Source organism: Homo sapiens, chromosome 9 (assembly GCF_000001405.40).
Source record: "Homo sapiens chromosome 9, GRCh38.p14 Primary Assembly".
Classification (NCBI taxonomy): Eukaryota; Metazoa; Chordata; class Mammalia; order Primates; family Hominidae; genus Homo; species Homo sapiens.
In genome coordinates, this window is record NC_000009.12 from 7,911,336 (window position 1) to 7,935,407 (window position 24,072).

At 37.6% G+C, this 24,072-nt stretch overlaps 1 long non-coding RNA gene across 4 annotated transcripts in view; it reads right to left on the reverse strand.

The window, feature by feature from the left end:
- Nucleotides 1–3,208: 3,208 nt before the first annotated feature.
- Nucleotides 3,209–24,072, reverse strand: part of LOC105375971 (uncharacterized) — a 46,690-nt gene continuing 25,826 nt past the window's right edge. The window contains exons 3-5 of one of the 4 annotated variants that reach the window (XR_929463.3): nucleotides 18,947–19,036; nucleotides 14,210–14,290; nucleotides 3,209–3,406 (exon numbers count right to left, since the gene is read on the reverse strand). This is a non-coding gene — a long non-coding RNA (uncharacterized LOC105375971). Of the gene's footprint in view, nucleotides 3,407–13,390; nucleotides 13,484–14,209; nucleotides 14,291–16,731; nucleotides 17,343–18,946; nucleotides 19,037–20,605; nucleotides 20,836–24,072 lie in introns of those variants that run through there. The other 3 variants (XR_929462.3, XR_929465.3, XR_929464.3) reach the window with 3 other exon arrangements.

A 24,072-nucleotide genomic window follows, 5' to 3' on the forward strand; every position in this document is an offset into this window, starting at 1 on the left:
AGATCCAATATCTATCACTCATTCTTTCCTCTTTTGCTCAGCTGTCAAATGGAAACTTAACAGAAGGATTAGGTATAATATAAGATACTGCAATAATCACAGCAGTTGCAATCCCTGCCACAATACAACATTGTTTTTAGTACTTTAGTGATTTGTCGTTTCCAAAGAGCATTTATTTAGCAGTAATTTTCTATGTATTAGTGGCCCACATGAAAAAATAAAAATAAAACAAACAGGTATAAGACACTTTAAAATATTATTATAAATATTAATATGCTATGGGGGCATGGTGAGAATGGAAAGAATAAGCTCTTCCTGCAGTCCAAACAAATGTATTAATAGAACTCAAATAATGGAGTCTATCAAATACCAAGTGATTGGAGATATTTCTATAATTTCTCCAGAAAACAGTATCTTCTCAGGTCCTTGACAATCACAGACTCTGTCAGTGTCTTGTCCCCCCAGTTTGAGAAGTGGTTCAAATGGGTCAGGACATTTCCGTAGAGTCCCAAGAGAAAGGGAATAGTCTCTTGCCAGGTGGTCAATAGTCATCCTGATAAGGTGATACGAAAAGCTGCTACATATGTAACGTTGAGTCTTGTTGTTTTGTTTTGTTTGTTTGCTGTTGTAGTCACACTTGGTGACCCAAAAAGTATCTTCTTCCCCCTACACCTCTTGTCCACTGCAGGGAAAAAAAAGAGACTAGCATTGTGTTTCTGAAGATACTGTAAAGTGTTTAAGCAGAAAACAGCCAGACCTCAGAAGCCTTTAGTGTAGATTTTGTGTCCAGCCTGCTTTTGAATGGACTCATGGATTTCTGCAGTGGCCATGGTAGCCTTGGGCCCAGGACTCTCTCCAATGTCTTGGGACATGTAAGCCCCTGGGGCTTTTCTACAGTCTTAACTCAGAGGGAGAAATGTTTTAAAAAAAAGACTCTTCTGACCTATCTTGGCAAATGGGAAGCTGAGAACAATCAAGAACTGTGAAATATCCCATGTTGTTGTGAAACAAAATTCTTAGTTTTAATATTGGCCTCAAAGGCAGAAGTAAATGAACATTTGTCTAGTGTTACAGACTGCTATTTAGTTATACCAGATTCTGTTTGTGAGAATTTTTCAAATAAATTGACTCATTGTTCCCCAGTGGAATAGATCTCCTGTACAGCAGTCTTCCCATCCCACAATATTACAAGGAAGGTTCTGCAAGCACCACCCTCTTCCTGACATTCTGGTGATGAGAGTTAATGACCGCTTATGTGGGACACATGAAATAACAGAGGTTAAAAGTTATCAAAGCGTGCCATGCATCTGAACAGATTATGGGAGCTTTGGCAGAGGATGACAGCCCTGATACTCTCCCAGTCACTAGACAAGTGAGCTGAGTCCCTGTGTCAGGATGGGAAAGGCAGATGCCCCCAAGGGTGTGACAGATCAAAGTGGGCCAAGTCACCCTGCGCTTGTTAAAGTGTTTTTCCTAAAAGGAAAACTTTAAAACATTAAAAAAAAAAACAAGAAAGAAAAGGAAAAGAAAAGATAGCGTATATTTCCATGAAAGAGAGAAAGAGCCGAGTGACCTATTTTACCACTAATGTTTCTCCCATGCAAGAGTCCCTATGCTTCCTTTGAAGAACCATGGAGGGTTTGTAGGAGCCCATGTCCCCCCAGACATTGTGGGAAAAGTTCTGTGCATTTTTTTCATAACAGTATTTATAAACTTATTACCACAAAGAGTTGAAGAAGCACTTGGATGGAAGGGATTCATTATCTCTCCTCTCTGAGCTGCATTTATTAACACTGGGCCCAAGAGGGATAACTTAGTTCTGTGGCTCAATGTAGAAGTGAAAATGAAATCAGGAATCTCTAGACCAGTAGTCTCAAACCTATTTGGCACCAGGGACCAGTTTCATGGAAGACAATTTTTCTATGGACATTGTGGGTGGGTGGTGGGAGGGGGATCGTTTTAGGATAAAACTGTCCCACCTCAGATCATCAGGCATTACATTCTCATAAGGAGCATACAAGCTTAGATCCCTCGCATGTGCAGTTCACAATAGGGTTCACACTCCTATGAGAATCTACTGCCACAGCTGATCTCACAGGAGGCAGAGCTCAGTCAGTAGTACTCCTTTACCCGCCACTCACCTTCTGCTGTGTGGCCCGGTTCCTAACAGACCACGGGCGCCTGTCAGTCCATGGCCCAGGGATTTGAGACCCCTGCTCTAGACTACCTGTTGAAGTTTACTTTTTGTGTCCTGTGACTCTGTGCTTTCTGGGAGCCATGCATTATGAAAAGTACCTCATGGTGAAAATTGACTCACTGCAAAAAGTCACCTCATTGGATATTCATTACAAGCCTGTGAGAAAACTGTTTTTACTCCACAGAAAAATAAACTCAGAACAGAGAGGTTTGGTAACTTACCAGAGGCCACAGAGTCAGGAATGAGCAAGCCCAAAATCCAACCCCAGGTTTGTGAATTCCAAAGCCTGGACTAGTTCTACCAATCCACTCTTCTCAGAGCGCTCATGTGATAGCTTCACAGGTGTCTCCCATTCCTGCTCAAGTGGATTCAGATTCCCCCAATGGAGGGTTTTATAAGTATATATTAGATATTTCTATACTTTTAGTATTCCCTGGTGATTTAGAATCCAGAAAGGAAACATAAATGTATCTGATTAGAAGCAGTGGGTGACTGTGACTATTCTAACACGTGGTCTTATTCACTTCAGCTTAGCTTCAAAGAGGGTATAACTGTGTCTACAGGGTGCAGGTTCTGGTGACAGATTCAGGTGCCTGAGTGTCAGCTCTAGCTCAGTCACTATCTAGCACTGATGCTTTGGGCATGTCACCTTTCCTGTATCTGTGTCATTATCTGCCAAATGGGGGCAATGACCCACTTCCCAGGGCTACAGTGAAAATCAGATAATGTAATTAAGAAATACTCCGGCTATAACACTGAAGGTGACATTGATAAGACATACAAATATTTTACGCAAGGCACCTGATGGAGTATTTTTGGTGCTTAATTTCAAAACAGTGAGCTCCCACATTCCTTTCTGATTTGTGTTTGTCTCCACAGGTCCCATAAGAATTCCATAAGCATGAACTACTGAGGAAACAGTAGATGTATTCAGATCTATGCAGAGGTCATAACACACTCCAACATGCAAACATATGTGTATGGAGGCAGGTCACCATTTAATATCCGTGTTGTGAAAGAATAACTAGAAAATCAAACTGTTGTAGTCTGTTTGGGCTGCTCTAGCAAAATATCTTAGAATGGGTAACTTGTTCATTCTTGTGGAATATATTGTTCACAGTTGTGGAAGTCCAAGAGTAAGGTGCTAGCAGATTTGATGTCTGGCAAGGGACTGTTTCTTGCTTCAAAGATGGTGCCTTGTTGCTGGTCCTCATATGGAGAAAGACAGAAAAGCAAAAAGGATGAACTCATTCCCTCTAGCCCTTTTGTAAGGACACAAATCCCATCCATGAGGGTTGAGCCTTTATGGCCTGCCCAAAGGCCCCACCTTCCAACGGCCCCATGTCTTAATACCATCCCCTTGAGGTTTAAGTTCTAAATTATGAATTCTGGAGGGACACATACATGAAAACCATAGCACAAATGAATGATGTTACCAGGTAATGATTTATTGTCAGAACTTACAATTTAATTATGAGGAATAATAGCATGAAAAGTATTTACCGTTACTTGTAAAATTCAAGGCTTGTTACAAAGCAAACAATTTAATAATAGTCATAATCGAAGTAAAAGTCTTTAGAGGACTACCTCCCAAAATGTGTTCAGCAGAATACTAGTGCAATATTGCAGGCAAATAATTTTGGAACATTTATACTATGGTCATTTCATAAAAATGTAGCACATTAAGACTTTGATTAATCCTTAAAGAAATAATTTCATTTAACTATGTTTAAATCAAGATTATTTGTCTCTAGAGTATTTCTTATTTTACTCCATCTGCCCCCTTTTTATGAATTATATATATCTAACATTCCATTGAATAAATTTTGGGAAATGCTGATTTGACAATGGAAGAATAAACAGAAATAATCCATACTTTGGCTTACTGCTGTTATGTAACTATGGACATAGTAGAATTCCATTATAAGCTAGTACTTTGTGGGAAACAAAACTACTTTATCAACTTTTGATGTTGCAGAAGTGGAGATACTCTATACAAAAATATTCTTTGGGTACATACGACATTCGGTCTCTTTAATGAATATGTAAAGAGCCACAATAAATAGAAAAATGGTGAAAAACTGATGAATTAACAATTAAGGAGTGCAAACACGAATATCATTTAAACATGTCTCATAATAAATACAAAGTAAGAGTAGCAGGTACGCTTTTCACTTATCAGATTGTTAAAAAATACTATAATAATCTATTGGAAATAGTGTGGAGAAAATGATACTTCCATCCATTGTTGAGGGAAATATAAATTAGCATGATGTCTATAGAGGGTGCAATGGACTGAATGTTTGTGTACCCTCAAAATTTATATGTTAAAATCCTACTCCCAATGTGGTAATTTTCGGAGGTGAAGCCTTTGGGAAGCAATTTGCTTATGAGCGTGGAGCATTCATGAATGGGATCACTGCTCTTATGAAAAAATGTGAGAGGCCAGGCATGGTGGCTCACACCTGTAATCCAAACACTTTGGGAGGCTGATACGAGAGGATCACTTGAGGCTAGGAGTTTGAGTCCAGCCTGGGAAGCATAGTGAGACCCTTGTCTCTACAAAAAATAAAAAAAAATTAGCTGCATATGGTGATGTGAGCCTGTAGTCCCAGCTACTCTGGAGGCCTAGGCCAGAGGATCACTAGAGCCCAGGAGTTCAAGGCTGCAGTAAGCTATGATTGTGCCAATGCATTCTCACCTGAAGGAAAGAATGAGACTCTGTCTCAAAAAAAAAAAAAAAAAGAAGACATAAGAGACCTGCTTTTCTCTCTCTCTCCTCCATGTGAGGATGCAATGAGAATGAGAAGTTGGCAGTCTGCAACTTAGGAGAGGGCTCTCAGTAGAACCACACCAAATTCTATGTGTCCTTCAGGCACATATAACTTATTAACATAACTATCACTCTTAGATTGAATTGGATGTTAGATGTTAGTAATGGATCATTTGGGAGGTTTGAAAATAATGATAAACCATCTTCAATTTAATGTGGGGTTGAGATTTTTCAACAGAGGAACTGCCGAAATAACCAGGCAGAAAATCGAAGCCATTGAAGGCTCTCTTTTCTAGAGCTTAAAAGGATAAAGGGACCTTTCTCAACTGTGACTTTATCCCTCCTTCCCAGATGTTCAGTGGAAGTAAACAACAGTACTGGGTTTTTAAGACGTACTATGAACTGGGAAATGGCAGTCACTGCCCTTATTTCATTAGGGAGAAGATTACATCATTAGCCCTGGACACCTGAGGGGGAATATTCTCCCTTTTGGTATAAAACTGTTCATTACAGAAGGGAATCTAATGTAAATTCCCAGTAGCCAAATTATATCACTTAAGACAGAAACCTTTCCTTTAGGTGGTCTCACTTTTGTTGCAAACTGAGACAAAAAATTCAATAAGAAACAAATGTCCAGTGGCTTTAGGGTTTGTAATCTTTCAAGACTGGCAGGTCTGCTTGTGTTTGAAGATCAACCTAATGGGTATAAAGGTCACTGTGCTCAAATAGCTATAATTAAGAGAAAGGAAACTGATCTTGTTAGATCACAGGGAAATGGCTAGGCTCTGCAAGATTTCTTTTTTATTCTGTATAATTAAATCTTTCAAGGCAAAGGACAACAAGGTATATGTGGACATATGTGTGCAACAATATTTCTATCGATAACATTGATTTCATTTAGAGACAACCTAAGCCTTATTGGAAGTGAGTTCATTTAGTCTAGTTCAGGCAACTTCCAGCCATATCTTAACTGAAATAACACAATATCGGTGGTTCAGCCTGTAAGCTCTTCCCTCCAGTGGATAGTCATATGTTTTTTGTTATTTGTAGTAATTGGCTGAAGCTTATACAGACAGAAAAAGAAAAAGAACAGAGGATGAGTTTATAATTTAACATTACAAACTCATTACTAGATGAAAGCAAATACTAATGTAACTCATTTATAAAGCCAATGATATGACTCAATGAGTAATGAATGAAACAGTTGGATACTCTTTATTTGTCTTCCGTCTGAAAAATATAAAGTTTGGTAAAGGACAGATAATGTGGTTCAGTGGAAACACTGTTGGATTTTGTGCCTGTGAGAATGGATTATTATCCCTATTCTGCCATTTGGTAGCTGAATGACCCTGGGCAATAATTGGATTTTGTTGGCTTCTGTTTGTTCATGACCTAAGAGAGTTGGACTACATGATCCCTAAAATTTGTTCCAGCTATAAAATTCTACGATTCTAATTAAAATTAGCCAGTGAAGTTTGCTTGCCAGCAAATCACAGCAAAAAGATGGACATGCCGTTAGAGACTCTTGCTTGAAAGTTGCCGCCTAAGAGAAGTTGTGCAGTAGCTAGTAGCATATTAATCATTTTATTCTATGAATAAAATTTAGGGTTCTTAACACTAAGAACTGAAAGTTTAGCAAACTGGTATATATAATATTTATAGTTTAAAGTGACAGGAAACTGTCACCAATATGTCTATGTGAAATTATTTCTGTTAGACCAGGTCCCCTAGTGAAAATAACTCATTTGTTCTTTCAGTCTACATCATTTCCCTCTTAGGCACTACCTCAGAGCCTCCCAGGCTCACCTGTTTCAGAGCTTGTCTTAGGATTCTTGCCAGATAATTTATGGAGGGAGTACTTTGGGGGTAAAACCTGCAACAGTGTGAAGGAGGCAAGGCAAGTGAAATAGGAAAAGTAGATCTGCTTCTTGAAGAACCTAGGGTAACACATACCCTAATCAAATTTTAAAACTATAACTCAAGCATTTTTATGCATTAAAGCATAGCTTTCTCTAGCTCCTCAGTTACCCATTCCAAGAAGAAGACAAAACATTTTGATTTCACACCGTACCCCAGAGCGCTTTGTAGTAGCTACTAGAGTTAGACACAGCTCTTAAAGAAAGAAGCCTCATGCTTTTTCTGTTGCTAATTAAACTCTGCTAAGAAATGTGAGCTCCCTCTGAATCAATCCAAGACCCCACTCTGTAAATATAAATGAATATATAATTACCAGGTGCTTTTCATTAAGCTAAGAATGATTTAAGGTTTAAAGTCAAAGCCTTTACCTAATAATTCACACAAAACGAGCTTTTTGTGGGGCAGTGTCCACACCAGAAATTCAACTTGCTCATCTGGAAAATAAAGGGTGTAAAAATCCGAAATAGGGGAAATGCAACTCAACCATTGAAATATCATTCCAAGTTGCAGGGCTGTGAGGAGAAAGCCTGCTATCTCTCAGGAAGCTCCAGAGGATACCGTTCTTTGTAACAGCATCTTGGCACTGTCTGGAGGCCTGTTCCACAGTCTTACTGGTCCAGACACATACATTGTCAGCACCCTAAAAGTAAGTACATTTCTTAGGAGCAGTTACATTGATGAGCTCCCATGGCCAATATAAAAGAGCAGAATATTCATCGATTCCTATGCATTGAAAGCCACAGATGGATGACAAGGCTGGAGGCCTCAGGCCCAAACCACCCTCTCCCTGTAACATTTAGGAAGCCGTATGACAATCACAGAGTTGCTTTGTGAGCAAGAAGTAAAGCAAGAGAGCGAATGAAAAGAAACCCTAGCTGACTCTGTTGATACCATGTGGCATGTCCCCAGGCCTCACTTCTGAATTCTTTGTCCCTATGGTGGGCAGTTTCAGGTACCCCGTGGAATGCTTCCCACTTTAAATGCCTGCTCCTCTCTGTTTCCTTGCTGGAGTGCGTCCTTCCCTAGCAGTATGAGCTTGCTTAGCTACAAGTCAGAACAATTCTGAAGAGCCAAAGAGTTGTTACTGCTGGCCTTGTGATGGGAGTCCATGGAAAAATGCCCCAGTCTCTCTGTCCTGCTGAAGCTCAATTCTAAGATACATTTTATATGGTTTCTCAGAAGGTGCCCAGCCAAGTCGGGACCTCAGTTGTCCACACCGATTACCTATTTATTATTGTACCCTTCATTGGCTTTTCTCCCTGCTAGGGCTGCCAGGTAGCTCAGTCTGAATTTCAGATAAACAGTGGAAAATTTCTTTAGTATAAGTATTTCTCATGCAAGGTTTGGGACATATTTATACTAAAAAGTTACTGGTTTTTTATCAGAATTTTAAATTTACTGGGTTTTCTATATTGTTATTTGCTGAATCTGACAACTGTGTTCTCATTTCCAACTCCCTTACTTCCTGAGATCGCCTCTCAAATAAACTAGTCTCAGGTCCTGTTTTTGGGTGAATTCAAACTAAGACAGAATCCAATTTTTTTTCACATCTCTGAATCAAAGACTGATAACTCCTCATGCAATATCATTCTCCCCTTTCCACCAATCAACTCCTAATTTCATTCTGGATGTCTTTGCTACCAGCTAAAGCCCACATTTTCAATCTTACCTCAGTTAATGACATGTAAACAGAAGTCTTCAGGTAACACTTCAAAGAAGCCAGCTGACTTAGGGAGCTCCTTAGGGAGATATGACCTTTGCCTTTCCTCTTACTGCCTATGTAGAATGTAAATATAATAGCTGGAGGTCCAGCAGCCATCTTAGGCATAAGACTAATTTTAGGATTGAAAGCATGCAGTAAGAAGGCTTAATGAAAATACAGGAAACTAAATTCCTGATGATTGTAGAGTTAATAAAATAGCCCAGAACTGCCTACCTCTGAATTTTCTCTACATATGAAGAAAAAGAACTTCCAATTTCTTTGGATTTCTGAACTTGAGTTTCTGTTTCTAATAGTTGCATGTAGTTTCTAACTGATAAAGTCACTGTGGGAACCAGGAATCTTTTCTTTTTTTTTTTTTTCCAACAGGGTCAGACTTCTTCATTTAGATGTCATCTTTTCCAGAAGGTCTTTTCTGATTGGCCTATCTAAAATGACACTAAGCATCATTTACTTCATTTCTCTCCATCCTTTGTTCATATACCTATTTCATAATGTCTACTTTGAACATTTGTTGTAGGGCTAAGTAAAGTAACATATATAATTGCCTGGCACAAAGTAAGCAAATTATAAATGGTATTCACTGTTATGCCCAACTTCAAATGAGAAACAAAAGATCAGGGAGTAAACATCAGGTTACTTTAAGTTCGTGGTCACCAGAAAATGACAGTGTTTGCTGCAACGATTCTTTACAGAGGTCAGTGAAAGTATTTGCTGCCTTAGAGTCTTAATCAACAATGGTAGATTTTTCTGCAATGGATTATTTGCACATGAACTTGAAAAGAAGTTGAAACTGTACTGAAATTTAGAAATAAAGGAGCATTATGTATGTAACTTTCAAACCATTCAGTAAAAAATTATAGATTGGGCCAGGTGCAGTGGCTCTCGCCCATAATCCCAGTACTTTGGGGGGCCGAGGCAGGTGGATCACGAGGTCGGGAGTTTGAGACCAGTCTGGCCAACATAGTGAAACCCCATCTCTACTAAAAATACAAAAAATTAGCTGGGTGTGGTGATGTGCACCCATAATCCCAGGTACTCGGAGAGCTGAGGCAGGAGAATCATGTGAACTGGGAGGTGGAGGTTGCAGTGAGCCGAGATCGTACTGCTGCACTCTAGCCTGGGCGACAGAGCAAGACTCTGTTTCCAAAAAAAATAAAAAATAAAAAATCATAGATTGGTAGATTAGATAGGTAGATAGATTGACTGATTAATTGATTGAAGCAATGGTAAAACAGTGGGGACAAAATGTTAACTGTACGAGAATCTGGGTAAAGGATAATGAATGTTCCTTGTATTTGTCTTGTAATTTTTATTTAAGTTTGAAATTGTTTCCAAATGTGAAGTTAAAGTAGTGAGGGGTCTTCTAATAATTTGGGAACCACTGATCTAGTTTAGTCCCTAATTTATAGGTGAGGAAACTGAAGCCCAAAAGACCTGCTCAAGTACTAATAGCCACGTTTGACTGGGTCTCAAAATACTCAACATTTGCACAAATACACCTTGCAACTCAAAACATAAAAATACTTTTAAGTTTATATAATACATGCACCATCACATCCACAATGCTGTTCCCCTATATTTATGCAAATAATATAGATTTAATTCTATACTTTTAAAATATCGCATTTATTTTGTTCACAAACTTCTGACCGGCTCTGAGCTTCCTTATATTTTTCACCTCAAGAGAAGCTTCCTTACTTCTGTTGTGCTCCAGCTATTTATTTTGGTTAAATTAGAACTGTAAAATAACCTTGCCTAAGGATATGTTTATGTTCCATGGGACTGGGCGGTGGATTCTCTACCTCTTGCAGCTGTTTGAAGGGGTAAGTGGGGTGGGGTGGGAGTGAGGAGGGTGGGAGCTAACCTTCCACTCTTTCTTCAGGCTTTCCATCTATGTTAAACAGATTTTCTTGCTTCTTTTTTGTCTCTGTTTTTCTGGTGTTTTTAAAAATAGCTTTGAAGGAATGGAAAATTTCTGTGATAGCTGATAGCAAATACAGAAAGGCTCATTTGCATATAGATATTTCAGCCTGCAACTGCATAATCCCCTGAGAGAGGCCTTGTTTAAATGGGCAGGCAGGCTGGCACGGGGCTGCCCAGTTCCTAATGAAAACTAAATCGAAACCCGGGAAACATTTGCCTTGGAGGTGGCCAGGCTTTTTAGAGTATCAATTTAAATCTGAAAGATGCAGGCAGGCCTGTGCCAAGTTGCCCCTCAGTCTTTAAAAACCTTAAGACAGAAGGTAGAGGAAAAGGGTGAGAAAACAATAAATAATTGGGTAAAACTTGAGCTAACCAATGTGCCTGTTTTACTTAGAAATTGTGCCTGAAGAATTCAAAACACTGAGCAGGTGGGACAGTGAGGAAGAGCAGGGAAGAGAATGTGGAGGCTTCATCTATTCAGGAAAGGCCTTGGAAACAGAAAGGCTCTTTTTCAGGTATCTTGGTGAGCCAACCCTTCTGAGACAACTGGTAATCCATTTATAGGCTAAAGACTTTTCAGATTGAATGTTCCCCTGAACTTGACTGAGGGCTAAGCAGATAAGGACAACTCTGAAAACAAGATAATGTGGAAAGAAAAGAGATTACAAAAAGGTCAAAAGATTAGCTGGGGGATAAGAAGAAGTCAGAGGAAAATAAGGGAAAAGGTTAGAAACTGATACCAAGCAAGGCAGATAAATCAAGTTAGGAAGTGAAAGAAGTGAACACAGCAGGAAAATAAGAAATGGGATCAGGGGAATTGGCCACAGGATAAGAGGAATACAAGGACAATTAAAAATAAAAATGCAAGAAAACAAAAGAATTGACAATGTGGATGAAGGAAATATAATAAAAACACCAAACTGAATATCTCTAAGGCTTCTATGTCTGAATCTAATGAGAATTAGTATGTCAAAATTTACTTTTCTCCCAGAAGAAGTAGTATGCCTTTGCTGTTATTATCAAAAGCATTGTTTTCCTTTGATGAAACTCTATTTTATAATCTTTTTGATTCGACATCTGGAATTGAGTATAATATCCTCACTCATTAGCTAAAGCATCACAGGATTTGATCAAGTTTTTGATAAATGAAAATATTAAAGGAGTCGTTAATGTAAGTGTGAGAAAGATAATACTGTTTCCCCAACACACACACATGCTCACAAACACACGCATGCATACCTGTGCATATCCACACACATGCAAGCTCACTAGATACAAATGAATATTTACTGAATGCCCGTTATGTTGTAGGTTGATGCTGAAGTGGTGAACTTGACTGACAGTCTTTGTGCTCACACTGTTTACAGTCTAGTGTGACAATAAATAAATAATTAAATATAATCTTTATAGGAAAAGAAAAAAATAGAATTGAGAGACAATGACATTTGCTATTTATAGCGTCCCATTCAGAGAAAATAGAACCTGAAACATGGAAGAATTTTTGTTTACTTACCTTAAAGAGAGTACAATCATGCACTTCCTAATGATGTTTCAGTCAAAGATGGACCACACATCTTATGGTGGTCCATAAGATTATAATGCTTTATTTTTACTGTACCTTTTCCATATTTGTATCTACTTAGATACAAAAATAATTAACATCGTGTAAACGTTTAAGGCAAATGCAATTGCCTATGGTATTCAATACAGTAACATGCTATACAGGTTTGTAGTTTAGGATAAGTAGGCTATGCCCCATAGCCTACGGGTGTAGTACGTTATACCACTTAGGTTTGTGTAAGTATGCTATGGTGTTTTCACAATGACAGAGCCACCTCATGTTGCATTTCTCAGAACATACTGCATGATTAAGTAACACATGACTGCATAAAGCAATGTGGATGCCAGATTACAGAGGCTAAACTATTTTGTATATAAAATGGGTAAAGAAAGCAGTTCTTAGGGAAGATGCTGAAATAGAGAGAGTGGAGATGGAAGGGCTTTGTTGGAAAGTCTATAAGATTGAAGACAAAAGGGATCTGGGAGGACTGAAAAGAAAACCCATGCTATGTAATATAAATCCTTTTTCTTGCCCCACTGCTGAATCTCCAGAAAAATCCTTTTTTTTTTTTTAAATCAGGGTCCAATGAGGTAGATTTTCCTTTGGGAATGAAGAGAATTGCTGAATTCTGCCCAAGGTTGACTAGGGAGAATCACACCCACCCATAAGGTAGCATCTGTTATGCAAAAAGTAAAAGAAAAGTGTGGAGAATATGACAAGTTCAGCACTTGCTTATTCAGTACTTACTCTGTCTCAGGCCTCCTGGGAAGGTCTGGGGTAAAAATGGTAACTAAGCCAGTCCCTATGCTCAATAAGCACATGATCTATGGGACTTAAACAGAAAAAATATTTGATCTGTTTTTCAATCCATCATTCATGGATCCAAGACTTCTAAAAATAAAGTAAAACAAACAAGCTAACTACATTTAAACAAGTATAGAATCTAAGTATCTATAGTAAAATGCATTGTGTGCTAATTATTTGTCAGATGTTATGCTGAGCTCTTTATATGAAATCTCTAATTTAAGCCTCATTACCAATTCTTGATGTAGTTTTTAAAATTATCTTCTTTGTATAGATGAAGAAACTGGAATGTACATCTATTAAGTAATTTTCCAAAATCATGATTAATAAATGACAAATCTGAGACTGAACCTACATCTGTTTGATACCAAAGCCCATGGGCTTAAAAACCTTATGGCCATTTTTTGAAATTTAAGAGAGAGTACCTTAAAAATTAAAATTACTTGTCTTAGTCAGTTTTGTGCTGCTTATAACAGAATTCCAGAGACTAGGTAATGTATAATGAACAGAAATTTATTTGGCTTGTGGTTCTTGAGGCTGGGAAGTCCAAGGTCAAGGGGCTCACATCTGTCAAGGGCCTTCTCACTGTGTCATACATGCCAGGAGGAAGAAAGGGAAGAGAGCATGTATGCAAAAGAGAGAGGAGGGAAGGGAGCCAAATTTATCCTTTTTATCAGAAACCCACTTCCATGATAATAACATCAATCCATTCATGAGGACAGAGCCTTCATGACCTAAACACTTCTGAAAGTTCCCACCTCTTAACACTGCTAAATTGGGGATTAATTTTCCAACAAATGAACTTTGGTACATTCAAACCATGACACTACTTTAACTACTTTATTATTATTCACCAAAGGAGAAGTACTAAATTTTATACTGAAAGACAACTCCAATTGAAGTTCATAAGGGTAATGTCTATAATATGCCCATGAAATAATTTTTAAGGTGCATTTAATTATGAAACTGTTTGGCTGTTCATTGTGATATTACCAAGAAAGTCAAGTGGATTTTTCACTTAGGTGTTTTGGTGTAGTTGACGTAGAAAATCATTGCTATTAACAAGGCAAATTCAATCCTGAACATCAAAGATTATGTATTTGTATGGCACATAACTTCAGCATATTATCAAATTTGGCTCTTTTGTTTGTAAAAATATCATTTGAATGTGACAAAATAGTCACATATTGCTTGTGCTTAAAAGAAAGAAGTAAGGAAGAAAGGAAAGAAGGAAGAGAGGGAAGGAGGAAAAAATGAAGGACAGAAGAAAAGTAAATGGACTTCTTTGGATTTTGGATTGGGCCTTCTTACCTTTTGTTTTACTAGTTTACTTGGTGTACTTTTTTCCTTGTCACGAATTCCAAGAGGCTCCAACACCAAGACAGATTTCTCCTCCGGTATGGCAAAAATTACAAAAAAATTGTTAAGTATTTATTATTAAACCAGGCAATTAAAGGTAAGATGAAATGTATGCATTACATAATATTCTCCTATAAGGGAAAGAGGCTAGCAGAAGAGAAAAACTTTCTCTCAGGCACTTGAATAACTATTGGACTAAAGTCACTCATTACTCTCCGGCACACTGCATTTTGGTTGACCTTGTGGAATGTCTGTTTGATGGTTTTCAAAATCACTTATCCATGCAGTTTTGGCACTTCTGTGCTGTGTTACCAATCTCAATTTTGTATTAGATTTTACTTTAATCTCTTATGTAGGTCCTGAATTTCCCCTCTTCTTCCCCATCAAAATATATAACCAGGTAGCCTGCATTTGCCGATGACCACAAAAGAGTAATTTAGGGCTGTGAAAAACCCTAATATTTCAAAATATTTCTCCTAAATCATGCACATACTTTTAGTAAAGGTGCAGAAGCTAAATAGTGGTTACCTCTCTGAAGTCATGAAACCATTGAGAAAATCTTTAATGTAGTGATGGAAATCCTTACGAAATGTTTGAGAAACACCTTAGTACACCTATGAAACATTTCATACCAGTAGATGAATTAAGTTTGAGTTTTGTTTCCATCTTCTTATCAATGATTTTAAAAGGTGCCCATGACTTTTCAGAGATAAAATTCATTTTGTCTCTAAATTATCTATGCTTGTCAGTCACACGTCCTTCTTTACATATTTAAGTGCTTGGTTACTGTTTGCCGGGTACTATATTGTGCTTTCTATACACTCATGGTCTCATATAATCCTCACAGGAAATCTATGAGCAAGGTATAATTAATATTTCCACTTTATAGATAGATACAGAGAGATTATGCAACTTTCCTGAGTCCCCACTGCTAGGAAGTGGCAGACCTAGGATATGAATACAGGTCTGTTTGACCTTAAAGCCTGAAGTTTTAATGGACACTGCCTGCCTGGGGTTGCAGCCAGACACTAGTCATGGAGAACTGAAATCCTAACATCTCTTCTCCCCATCTTTTAATCAAAAGGTTCTTATCTCTTCTTAGGGACCAGATCCTACCCCCAAGTCATGTGGTTCAAGTGGGACTAACCACACCCCTTAGTCCCCAGGGTAGGCACATGATACAAGCTCGGCCAATCAGAACATTCTGTGTCCCTGGACATCATGGTTACATGGAGTACTGCTTGGGGCCACCATGTGGGCAGAGACTATCTGGGGTGAAGCAGAGATTCTGAGAGCTAAGAAATGGAAATACCCTTAGTTCTAGGGACAATATTTGAACCCCTACATCCAGTCATGACTTGGATCCTTGAACTTCCCAGGTATTCAAGAGCTAATATATTTCATGCTTACTTTTGTGTTTCTTAAGTCAGTTTGATTTGGGATTCACTCATAACTGAAAAAGGCCTGATGAAGAAAGCACAGAAAACCCTCACATGGTCAGGAGATAATGCTGGTAAGAAACTTCCTGGAGCACTTTGAATCTTCCTTCAGTCTCTCGCACCTCCCCAGCTGTTGATCCTTTGCCACAGCTCTAGTGATGCCACTTCTTTCAGTTTGGTGTTAAGACAATTATGGCATTATCAAGTTAAATCCTGCCCTTTTTTCCTATTAAAGTCCTTGAATATATGCTATTTTCCTGCCTTTGACAGTCTTTGTTGTTGTTCCCATTACTGACACATAAATCAGCAACACAGATGAGGTCCAGGTCAAGAAGGTTGTAATGAGCACACCTAGAAGTCTCCCAAGAGGTAGTTGTCTTAGTACTTTTGGGCTGCTATAACAAAGTACCATGAACTGTATAGTCTATAAACAAAAGAAACTTTATTGCTCACAGTTCTGGAGGCTGATAAGTCCACAATCAAGCTGCTGGCAGATTTGGTGTCTGGTGAAGGCTTGCTCTCTTGCTCATGGCACCTTCTTGCTGCATGCTTACATGACAGACAAGGCCAGCTAGCTCTCTGGGGTTTCTTTTATAAGGGCATTAATGCCATTCATGTGGGCAGAGCCTTCATGACTTAATCATCTCCCAATGGCCCCACCTTCTCATATTATACCATTAAGGATTAGATTGCAAAATATGAATTTGGGGAGACACAAACATTCATTCTTATAGCAGTGGTGTTAGGGACTGAAGTTGGTGGTCCACCAAAGTCCATATGTTGAAGCCCTAATCCCCAGTGTCATGGTATTAGGAGGTGGGGCTCTTGAAAAGGAATTAGGTTTAGATGTGGTCATAAGGGTAAAGCCTCCATGATGGCATCAGTCCTTATAAGAAGAGGGAGAAACATCAGAACTTTCACTCTCCACTATGTGAGGATACAGCAGAAAGGTGACCATCAGCAAGTGAGGAAGAGAGCCCTCAATAAGAACCTGGCCATACTGGCACCCTGATCTTGGGCATGTTGCCTCCAGAATTATGAGAAATAAATGTCTATTGTTTAAGCCACCCAGTCTATGGTATTTTGGTATATCAGCCCTAGCTGACTGAGACAAATAGCTGAGGAAGTTTTTTAGAAGAAATATTTCATTGTAATAATTTCATGAAGCAACCAAACAATTTCTGAGAGTAAGAATCATTGGAAAATTAACAAGTTACATTAAATGTTACTTATGAGAATACTTTGATTTGAATGATCAAAAAATTCAGGTTACATTCTTTAAAGATGGAGATTTGCTTGAGAGATTCAAGTACAGATGTCTCTGTCTCTAACACAGAAATGTGCTCAATAAATATTTATTGAAATGAACAGTGAAATTTAAGTATGATATTTGTATTAGGGTTCTCCAGAAAGACATAACCAATAGGGCACTAGATAGAACTTATTAGGGGTTCATGCAATTAGGTAAGCTGAGGAGTTATACAATATGCCCTCAGCAAGCTGGAGAGCCAGGGAAGCCAGTGGTGTAGCTCCAATTCCAAGGCGGAAGGCCTGAGAACCTTCAGGTGTTTGTGCAAATGCTGGAGTCCAAAGACTGGAGAACCTGGAGTTCTGATGTCCAAAGGAAGGAGAAGGAGGGTATCCAACTTCAGAAGAGAGAGAGAGAGAGAAGAGAGAGAGCAAGCTCACCTTTCCTCTGACTTTTTGTTCTATCTGGGCTCTCAGCTGATTGGATGATGTCCACCTACCTTGGATGAGGGTAGATCTTCCTTACTCAGCCCACTGATTCAAATGCCAATCTCTTCCATAAACAACCACACAGACATATGGCAAAAGTATGCCCTACCAGCTATCTGAGTATTCCTTAATCCAATCAAGTTAACAACTAAAATTAATCATCAACATCTCCTGGTGTATAAGCTAAGGTACCAGAATTTCCAAACCAACTAGACCACAGCATTTCTCAAAGCAAAAATTTTGTTCTGCATCTGGGCCTTTATGTATATATGTGTCATTATATGCACACATGTATGTATGTATGCCTCTGTCTATCTATCTATCTATCTATCTATCTATCTATCTATCTATCTATCTATCTATCCATAGCTGTATGGTAAGTTAGGCTCAAAGCTTGACACCTTTTTGGGGTGTATAATCACATATGTACTGGTGAGTTCATAATCAATGAAAACTTCATAAGGCACTTTATCAACAAAAGGTGTTGCTGGTAACAAATGAACAGATCCTTTCAAATTTCTTAAGAAGTCACCAAACTATGTCTCTCTTTGAGATGAATGCTATCTCAGATATAGGCTGCATTTCAAGAATCTGATCTAGTGCGGCAGAAATTGGAAAATAGTTTGAAAAGTAAAAAATGCCACACAGACACAAGGTGCTTATCAGCAGATACAGTGCGGTCTAGAAAATTATTGCCAAGAATTTTGGAATTAAAAAATATGCGACAAAACATTCTGTGAATTCTGGGAAGCACTTCGAGGTAAGGGGAGAGGAAATTCACTTTTAGGGAAAGATTATACCTCTCTATCAAATATTAACACACAACCAAACCATCCTGAAGATAGGCTTGAGGAACATGCCCATGTTAGATTGTGAGAGCCAGAGGTAGGATTTGAACTCAACTCTCTGATTCTGAAACCTGAATGTTCAATGTTGTCTGTAGAAGTGAGACCTTAGGTCTGAAAAACACGATGTCCTCATTCCTGATTCCCATCCTAACACTACCACATCTCACTATAATACCGTTATTGTGATTAAAGCCTCATAATGTGACTCACAAAGATGTGTTAAGCATAACAGAATACATTCTTGGAGGAAAGATTATAAAGAAAAGATATTGTTTTTGTTCTTTGAAATTAAAAGCTAAAATAAAAAAGAGAAATCCCAACTTGTAGCACTTTGACATTTTTGTGCTGTAAATACCCCCATCATGGCTGATTTCAAGCTGCCAGCATTTTATTGACTAGCTTGCAAAATTCCTGAAAATTTAGCAGTTGGCTTGTATGAACCAGTAAGAGCCCATTGATTAGCTCCAATACATCATTGGAACAAGGCTTCTTAAAAAAAAATCTTTGGGAAGATGCTCTGGCTGGATTTGAGCAATTTACTATCATTTTAGACCAATCACCATAGCTAGGTGTGTGGGTAACTACAATTACCCATCTTGGGTCTTGTGACCCTCCCTTACCAGCTGGCTGGGCATTGAGATGGCAACATCGCCAGACCCGCATACCTGATATTAGTGAGAAACAGTCCTCTGAATGTCCAGCAGAAGAGAAATGTGGATTGGATAAACACAATTCAAGGATGTGCTATAGAATCCCTGAGAGAAAGACAGGGTATGCAAATATATAATTATTAAAATTATGCAAATATGACCACAGTAATTGCAAAGAAGAACTGAAGGCAATGAGGTATTTTAAGGGTCCATTTCTTGGTATGGAAAACAGAGGGATAAATTAGAGAACATTACTTAACTTGTATGAGTTACATTTTTAAATACCTTGAGCATGGTCTTGTTCTTTAAGACAAAGTACAGAAATGGACCCAGTGTTCTCTTCCCCAGAAAAATGATACTGGGGCCATTTAGAACAGAAACACACAGTAAGTATGTTGCTTGTTTAAGGACTGTTGAGATTGTGAATATGAGTTTTCCAATTAGCATAAACACAGGTGTATTTTAAACGCTTCAGTCCCCAGCAGTTCTGTCACTATAGGCTCTACCTTTGAAGCTTTGTTTTGATCATTTTTTTGGCTCCAAAAAGAATTTTCTTTTTTATGCTGTTATTCTATATTTTGCTTCTTTGATGTGGGGCTCGACTGCCATGTTGCAGAAGCACACTTTCCAAGCTTAAGAAAAAAACAAACAATTCTCACCACCTACATATCTGGCTTCATTGAACAGTTTCTTTCCTTCCAATTAATCCAAAGAGAGTTAAGATGCATTGCTTCCTCTATTCATCAAGGTGATTGTCAATTGAAAAGGGGAAAAAACAGCAAATGAAGCTAACACTCTTCAGAAACTCTCAGCAAAGAAAAAAGAAAGAAAAAAAGAAAAGAATAAAAGCCAGGAAGAGACGAAACTCTTTAGAAGGCATCTAGAATTTAGAATGCATTTTTTAATTATCCTGGTAGAATGTCCAATGTTTTAATGTATATTTAAGACGAAAGAATAAAAAAACATTGTTGAGCATTTTTTTTTCAAATTTTTATCTCAGCTTAATTTTGAACTGCTCTTAAAAACTTTGCTGGCACTCAAAGCGGAGAAAAAGCAAAGATGTTTCTTACATTATTATTGATTAAAAAAATGAGAAACAACTTAGATGTACAAATATAGAGGGTGTTTAAGTAAATTATGGTGTATCCACTGAATGAAAATTAGGCATGTATAATAATATTTCTGAAAATTTTACAAATAATTGATAAACACTTCTGTTTTATATTGAGTATAAAAAACATCATTCAAACTTTCATATTTAATATATAAATGTTCATAATAGCTTTATTCTTAATACCAAAAAACTAGAAACAAGCCAAATGTTCCTCAGAAGGTAAATGAATAAACAAATTGTATTGAATTCCTATAGTGGAATAGTACTCAATGATGAAAAGAACAAACTATGGATGCATGAATAAATCTCAAAAACATTATGCCAAGGGAATAAAAGCCAGGCACAAATAATTACAAACTCTGTGTTTCCATATAAGAATTTCTAGAGTAGACAAGACTAATCTATGGCAACAAAAAACATATCAGTGACATCGAGGGGCACGGTTTGAGAGGGGCTTCACTGCAAAGGGGTACAAGGGACCATTTTGGTGATATAAATGTTTTATGTCTTGTTAGGGATAGTGGGTACATGAGACTTTTTTAAAAATCAAAATATTATCGTTTTATATTTAAAATTTACAAATTTTATTATACCCCCAACAAAGTTGATTTTAAAATAGAATATGTTGTCTTAGTCCATCCAGGCTGCTATAACAAAATACCACAAATTGGGTAGTTTATAAACAACGGAAATTTCTCTTTTACAGTTCTAGAAGCTAGGAAGTCCATACTCCAGCAGATTTGGTGTCTGGTGAGGGTCTAGTTTCTGATCCACAGGTAGAATCTTCTGGCTGTGTCCACATGTGAGAAGGAGAAAACAAGAGATTGGGCCTATTTTATAAGGGCACTAATTCCATACATAAGGGCTCCCCACTCATGACTTAATCATCTCCCCAAAGAGCCCACCTCCTAATATCATCACCTTGGGGATTAGGGTTTCAACATATAAATTTGGGGTTGACACAAACATCAACCCATAGTATAATATAATTCAATTTTGTAAAATAAACTGACAGGAAACTATACATAGAAAAATACTATAAGGAACATTAGTAAGTATTAAAACATTTACAGTCATTATCCCTAGGTATGTCATTAAGAGTAATTTTTTTTCTTTCTCCTAATTGACTGAATTGTTAAAATCGGTACTGAAAGCATACACTTTTAAGTTATTTATCCATCTACTATGTCTGTCTATCCATTGGTCCCTTGTTTGTCTACCTGTCCATCCATGTATCCATCTACCCTCTTTTACCTTCCTAAATTATCACCTTTATGAAGAACTTTAGTAACAGGTTTATATAGATATATAATTCTTTTAAGTATGCTTACAAACCCCAAGCATTATAACAGTTCTGCTTCACAATGATTTAACCAGAGGATACTTTCTTGGTTAGTTTTGTGGGCATGTCTGCCTCTGCCCCTCCCTGATTCGGGCAGTCACTTCAGGGAAAAGTAATAAAATACTTGATTTATTTTAAAAGAGTCAGGCTTATTGACTGTTTAGAATGCTTTGATCATTCATTTTGTCAGGATCAAAGAATAGAGACTATTGATTACCTAGTGTTCTATGCAGACCTGCTTGTATGACACAAAGATTACTTGAATAGCATTGATCGTTGTCTCTCGAGTTGCAATGAAAATGGAAATGGTTCTCCTGGGAGGCTGTCATTCTAAACAACAGCAATAACATCAACTACTATCATTCCTCCCGAATTTTTTTTTAAAAAGGATAATATTAATATTAAAATGATTTGGAGTACTTACATATTTACAAAAGACTTTTAACCAGAATAAATCTTGAGATACAGCAATCTTGTGGGGTAAATAAGAGAAGCATTATAGATCTAGTTTTTAGAAGAAGACTCTGAGGCTCAGGAGGCTCATCGCACAATTAAATGACAGAGCTAGTGTGCAAGTCCAGGACTTGAAATATTATTTCCACTATACTACACTGTTTGGCTTAATACATTTAAAAATGTTCCCTGTATTTTATGTCCATGTTGGCATTCATTAAAGTTTCCTTTTCTTCTGGGTTGAATGAACAGAAAAAGGTTTTCATGAGAATTTTGGTTGTTATTATTATATATTAAGATTTTCTCTCTTGCTCAGTTTAGAGGTGGGGAAAATTAAATGCAGCTTATTAAAACTTACAAATATTTTTGAGCCAGATCCATCAAATTCGCTGAAATCAGACTCAAAGACATCAAATTGGTTTGACCATGTTTTTCTTCCTCTGGCCAAAGTGTCAATATTTCAATCCAACAGAAACCTGACTGATTTATGAATGTGTATTATTGGCAAGGGGATAGGCATGGTGGCTAAACTATCAACACAAAGACAATTTCAATGAAGCATTTAAACCTAAGCATCTCTGATTTGGATAGAGAAATGGGTTCTCATTCTTGACTCTACAATATATTGTTTGTATAATCAACCTGTTTTAGGACACAAACTTTCCTCCACAAAATCTTTTGTTCCCCAGGAAAACAATTTTTGCTGTCAGATAAATCAGTGATAAAAGAAGACATATTTTAGCAAAACATTTGTTTTATAGATTTCATGTTTACATATCCAGAAACATGATTGCTTTTTTATTGTCACAAATACTTTTTTTCTCATTTAAAACAAAACAAAACTTTCAGCTGTGCTGCTCATAAGAAAGTAAATGAAAATATTTGAAAGATAAAGTAGTCACTTTCTCATTATTAGATAGGCTAAGACACCATGAAATATTAAAGTTATTAGCAGAGTAGAATCCTAACCTAGCTCATCTAGGTTTATGATTTTAATTAACCAACTTTGCTCTTTCCGAAGTAATACAAATCAAAGATGCCAAAATCACTTCATAAGAAGAAGGAAACATTATTCCTAAATTATTAAGGAAAGCCAAGAGAAACTGCCTATGGACAATTGGCTTAATCTAAGAGTTCATCGTTTTCTGCCTGAAGTTTCACTGAGCAGATGTTCCATTTTTCTTATCTTTTTGAAATATGACTTAAAAAAACACCTAGGGGAAAATTTTAAATTTCATGAAGGATGATGGTTTTTGTCCCGTTTTATACCTTTTATGTGCTACTATGTAAAATGAGAATATTAATAATGGCTGCCGTAGTGTTACTATGATCAAGCAACCAACAAGGCACCTGGCATAGATACGTTAAAAAATGTTTGTTATTATTCTTATTAAACTATTTTTCATAGTCTAAATATTAACTAATGCAATAACAAATGGAATTTTTTTTTTTTTTTTTTTTTTTTTTTTTTTGAGACGGAGTCTCACTCTGTCACCCAGGCTGGAGTGCAGTGGCGCGATCTCGGCTCACCACAAGCTCCGCCTCCCGGGTTCACGTCATTCTCCTGCCTCAGCCTCCCGAGTAGCTGGGACTACAGGCGCCCGTCACCACACCCGGCTAATTTTTTGTATTTTTAGTAGAGACGGGGTTTCACCGTGTTAGCCAGGATGGTCTCGATCTCCTGACCTCGTGATCCGCCAGCCTCGGCCTCCCAAAGTGCCGGGATTACAGGCGTGAGCACCGCGCCCGGCCATAAATGGATTTTTTTACCTTTGAAGATACACATGCCTGTATGTATATATATCTGTATCTACATATGCAAACATACACATATATGTATATATTTTTTAAAGGAAGTCTTTTTATTGTTGCTGCCGCTAAGCAATGGTTTCAGTGAAATTCAAATACAGAGAAAGCAACTTACTTATCTGCACAGAGACCAGAGGTAGATGAAAAAACAGTTCTTGTCCTCTCAGAGGAGACTGAGTGAGGCCTCTGGACTCGGCCTCTATTGCGCCCCAATCATTTCACAAGTAAAAGGAACCTTCAGTGTGAGAATGGACAGACAGGTAGTACAGAGGCTATTTTATTATAATAAATGGAAAGCCCTGTTGGAGTAAGCTACACGCTGCCAGACATCATTTTCTCATGACTGCATAATCTTTCATAGCATTGTTTAAGGATTATTGTTTTAAGCCCCCCATGGAATCTTGTGGAGACTGGGGTATGTGG